The sequence below is a fragment of the Homo sapiens genome, chromosome 6 (assembly GCF_000001405.40).
Source record: "Homo sapiens chromosome 6, GRCh38.p14 Primary Assembly".
In the NCBI taxonomy this organism is placed as follows: Eukaryota; Metazoa; Chordata; class Mammalia; order Primates; family Hominidae; genus Homo; species Homo sapiens.
Window position 1 is genome coordinate 16,204,721 of NC_000006.12, and position 5,076 is coordinate 16,209,796.

The 5,076-nt window shown below is 44.1% G+C and overlaps 1 pseudogene, besides 2 other annotated features; it reads left to right on the top strand.

The window, feature by feature from the left end:
- Nucleotides 294–400, top strand: RNU6-1114P (RNA, U6 small nuclear 1114, pseudogene; annotated as a pseudogene).
- Nucleotides 805–894: an enhancer, noted in NCBI's record as "active region_24097". NCBI's record gives its function as "activates an Ori minimal core promoter by ATAC-STARR-seq in GM12878 lymphoblastoid cells {active_cell/tissue: GM12878}" and the evidence as "EXISTENCE:reporter gene assay evidence [ECO:0000049][PMID:35858748]".
- Nucleotides 1,105–1,314: an enhancer, noted in NCBI's record as "active region_24098". NCBI's record gives its function as "activates an Ori minimal core promoter by ATAC-STARR-seq in GM12878 lymphoblastoid cells {active_cell/tissue: GM12878}" and the evidence as "EXISTENCE:reporter gene assay evidence [ECO:0000049][PMID:35858748]".

Genomic DNA, 5,076 nt, shown 5'->3' on the forward strand with positions numbered 1-5,076 from the left:
AATCCAGAGACATTGTCCTGTGGGTAAATACTAAATAGAATCATTAGGCTGGTCTCTGGATTTGTCTATTCAATGCTTTCATGTTGGTTTTCTTTATCTTCCAGCTCCAGAAAAGGCCTGTAGTTCCAGCTACTGGGGAGGCTGATGGAAGGATTGCATGAGCCTGGGAGGTCAAAGCTGCAGTGAGCTGTGATCGCACCACTGCACTCCAGCCTGGGTGACAGAGTGAGACCCAGTCTCAAAAAAAAAAAAAAAAAAAAAAAAAAAAAAGCAAGCAAGCAAGAAAGAAAAAAGTGCTCGTTTCAGCAGCACATATACTAAAAATTGGAATGATACGGAGAAGACTACCATGGCCTCTGAGCAAGAATGACACAAAAATCCTGCAAAATAAAAAGCCTGAGCAAAGTGACTTGCCCAGGATGCCACAGTTCACAGTGGTAGAACCACAACTGGAAACCAGGACTTTGACTCCCAGGCAGCTGCCCCTTCCACGAGTTCCATGTCCCATGTGCATGCTATGTTTGTACTGGGGTCAATGGCAACCGTCTTATTTGGATATTCTTATTTTCCTCTATGCCCTGAGAAACCTGGTTTGTAGACAGAAAAGGCTGATTTTTTGCTTCTAAAAGCTTAAGTTGACATTTTGTGTTGTTTTGTTTTGTTCTCCTGGCCCAGCCTAACAAGCATTCACATAGTAGACAACACATGCTTGCTGGACCTTACTTCCTGTCTGGTGACCCAGCTCCCTAGAGACTTGAATCTCAAATAAATGTTTCTGTCAGGAGGCTGAGCTCCCAGCTGTGCAAATTGGTCACAGATGTAATTGCATTTGCCCTCTGCCCTGGAAGAAAACATGCCTGTGGTTGGGGGTTTAGATGTCTCAGAATGAAAGACATTACTCCTGACTCTGGGTAATAGCCGTGACGCTCAAAATAAGCTGCCACAGAGACACGCCATAGTGTTGCCAGATGTACAGGGCTGTTGCTACCCAGAATCTGGATCTGCACAGCCAGTTACCAAACTGTGGCCATGTCATTGGCCAATCAGGCATAGTCAAGAACCTAGCTTTTCCACTGGCTCCTCATACTTTCAAACATAACTCCATCCCCTCTTCTCCTCTCCCTAATGCCCACAAGATCTCTGCAAAGAGCTCTAATTCCAAGTTCCCTGAATGGCAGACAATGGCAGCCCTAGGACATCTACACTGCACAGGCTGCAATTGCTAGAATCTAATTAAAATAAACATTGTAACAAGCTGCTGAGCCCCGCCCAGTGCCTCAGGAGTGCAGTGATGTGACACATCTCACTGCAGCCTCCACCTCCCACCCTCCAGCAATCCTCCTGCTTTGGCCTCCCAAAGAGTGGAAACTACAAGTGTGTGCCACTACACCTGGCTAATTTTTGTACTTTTTGTAGAGATGAAGTCTCGCCATGTTATCGAGGCTGGTCTTGAACTCCTGGGCTCAAGTGGTCCACCCACCTTGGTGTCCCAAAGTGTTGGAATTACAGGTCTGAGTTACTGAATCTGGCCAGATAGATATTTTAAACCCAGTATTTGTCTGCCTTTCTTCCTCAGTAGAATTTGAATGTACCAGGTGGCTGCTAGCTACACACCTGTGTAGGATGAGGCTTATCCTATATGTCTGCCCTATTTGTCTTGTTAAATCATATTATTATTCTGAACGCTTTCCTTCTAAAGCAGACAACCAAAGCATAGGGTATTAGCTCTTCTTAGTCCTTTTCCAATCCAAACATTTAGACTTCTTTCTGCTCACCCCTGGGCAGTATCACCCTCATCAATTTCCTCTTAATTGACTAGAATGAATTGTAACTATCCCCATCAGCAATCACATCTGTTAAGGATTGCAGAGTGCCATTGTTGTACGGGAAGAGCATTTCATTTGAGCCACCAAAAATTTACTAACGTGTGGACACAGGGACAGATACAGAGGATTGCAAACTCCAGTTTCTGAAAAACTCGATTCCAAAGCAAGGGAAAAGGTGCCCTCTAGTGGTAAACACAGCACACTACACCACAGCATCCTTATTCCAGACCGGAAGCCTGGCTATTTGAATCCTATTTTCTGTTTCTTCCAGAAACCCTGAGGTCCAGACAGGATGTGACACATGAAGGTTTAAGTGAATTAAAATAGGCTGCTGACATCTAAGGCCAGGAAGAAATAATGAGTACGGATCCACTTTCACTGAGAGCAACCATCTCTGCTAAGCCACTTCTTCAATTTGGTGGCAAGTAACCAACTATCTGGAATGAGCAAGAAATATTCCCTTCCGAATTCCTTGAAAAATGTGGGGCTTAATTTAGAATATTCAAGTTCTTTTGACATACGTACTAAGACTATACAGTTTTTATAAGTATTCTAAAAGCCCGTATAAATTACAGTTGATTGGGAACTTTTAATGTAATAATTGAGTCCTGACATAAGAGACAGTGCAATGCTCAGGAAATAATGCTGGCCTGAAAGCTTGGAGATATGGACTCCGTGACACAGCCTCTGCCACTAACTAGGTGACTTCGGGCAAGTCCTTCAACATCTCTGACCTCCGTTTTCCCGTTAACAAATGAAAGAATTGGACTAATAATTTCTAAGCTTTTTCAGCTCTAAAATGATCTAATTTGGCCAGGCGCGGTGGCTCATGCCTCTAATCCCAGCACTTTGGGAGGCCAACGTGGGTGGATCACCTGAGGTCAGGACTTTGAGACCAGCCTGGCCAACTTAGTGAAACCCCATCTCTACTAAAAATACAAAAATTAGCCAGGTGTGGTGGCGTGCACCTGTAGTCCCAGCTACTCGGGAGGCTGAGGCAGGAGAATCGCTTGAACCCGGGAGGCGGAGGTTGCAGTGAGCCAAGATTGCACCACTGCACTCCAGCCTGGCAACAGAGCGAGACTTCATCTCACATAAATAAATAAATAAATAATAAAATTATCTAACTTATAAAAACTCTTTTAGGAGAGTTATATTTTGAAATAATATCTTTTGGGGATTTGTGTGTATTTCCTTCATTAACCCCAGGGTACCCTCCCTTAGCCCACTACTAAATAAAAACCAAGATTCAGGACGGGCGCAGTGGCTCAATCCCAGCACTTTGAGAGGCTGAGGCTGGTGGGTTGCTTGGGCCAGGAGTTCAAGATTAGCCTGGCCAATATGTCAAACCCCATCTCTACTAAAAACACACACAAAAATAGCTGGACGTGGTGACGCACCCCTGTTGGGAGGCTGAGGCACGAGAATCGCTTGAACCCAGGAGGCGGAGGTTGCAGTGAGCTGAGATCGTGCCACTGGATGCACTCCAGCCTGGGCAACAGAGCGAGACTGTTTAAAAAAAAAAATAGTCAAAGAACTAGTCGAACTAAGGGTGAGAAAGATGAGAATCAGCCCATGGAACATGCTTTTGCTGTCCATGAATCTAGGAAATACCAGGGCTGGGGAAAGGAGAAAGAGGAGTTAGAGAGGTGAATTACTCAAATGAGAAAAAGGGCCTGGATAGGTAGAGGTAGGAGGTCTCAGAGAGAAGTGGGAAGGAAGATCCTCAAAAGGACAAGCTTCCATGTGTGTCCACACACCAGCTCACCGCTCCAGCCCAGCCCTGGGGACAAGTATCTCTCCTGAATAGAGGGGAGGATGTGCACGCCTCCTGGAGGAGTGGGGACATGAAGAAGCATTTATTTTAGCTCCTTTCCACTGATTACAGAAGCACTAAAGAGAACAAGTTGGGAGCATCTCCACGACAGGGAGGGCAGGGCACTGCCACTGGTACACACAGATCCTGGAACTTTAGTGTGCAGGTGGACTTAATAATACTAATATTAGGAATAGAGATATGTGCACATCTGTTTTTATCAATCAATCAGGTGTTAGCATAATTTGCTATTTCCTTTTTAAGATAGGAAGTAGCTTTTGGTTGTTGAAATTGTTTCCTCTCTTGATTAAATTAATTATCCCTAAGAACTGAAGGCTTCAGTGATCTCTGAGAATTCTTCCAAATGTGAAATATAGTTATTCTAAGACATTTCAAAGCTCAGGTTATTGTATGTTGGGTCTAATGTTAGGCTTCACTGTACCAGAATTCTATTATGTGAAACATTACTTTAAATGAGTAACTCGCCACCTAAAACATGGAATTCCTTCTTTGATATGGCAGCACTGTGTGTAGTCAGGGTTTTGCATTACATCTCTCAGGCCACCCGTGCTGGCTCATGCCTGTAATCCCAGCACTTTGGGAGGTGCTGAAGTGGGAGGATTGCTTGAGCCCAGGAGTTCAAGACCAGCCTGGGCTGCTACATGGCAAAACCTTGTCTCTACAAAAAGTACAAAAAATTGCCAGGCAGTATGCCTGTAGTCCCAGCTACTAGGGAGGCTGAGGCAGGAGGATCGTTTCAGTCTGGAAGTTTGAGGTTGCAGTGAGCTGTAATTGTGCACTGCACTCCAGCCTGGGCAATGGAGTGAGATCCTTTCCCTCCAACCCCCCAAAAATTAACAAATTACCTGGGCATGGTGGCATGCACCTGTAGTTCCAGGTACTCAAGAGGCTAACTTGGGAGGATCCCTTAAGCCCAGGAGTCCAAGGCTGCAGCGAGCTGTGATTGCACTACTGCACTCCAGCCTGGACCACAGAGCAAGACCTTGTCTCAAAAAAAAAAAAAAAAAAAAATCTCTGTATTAAACTATCCACCAGAGGCAGGACAGATGCCAGAATGTGTTTTAACATTAACATAAATGTATTAAACAAATACATTCAATCAAATATAGTACTAGATGCTACAAAAAAAGTAAAAGCAGTCTTAAATTTGATTATAGATAGAGGAAGCAATGTGCAACAAAGAAAGAGTTGTTTTATTACTAAAGGGAAAGCGAGTAAATAAGCTTATTTGTAAGTGTTCAAGTTTCTCAAGGAAGACTTCTTAAAACACAAGAATTTCATTTTATGGCATTGTGCTTGTTTTTAAGGTGGGGTTGAAAGAAGGCAGAGAAATCAATAAAACTCTCTGGCTGGATAACAGAAGCCATTTCCAGGGCAACAAGGGAGGGAGACATGCCGTGGATTTAAAGGACA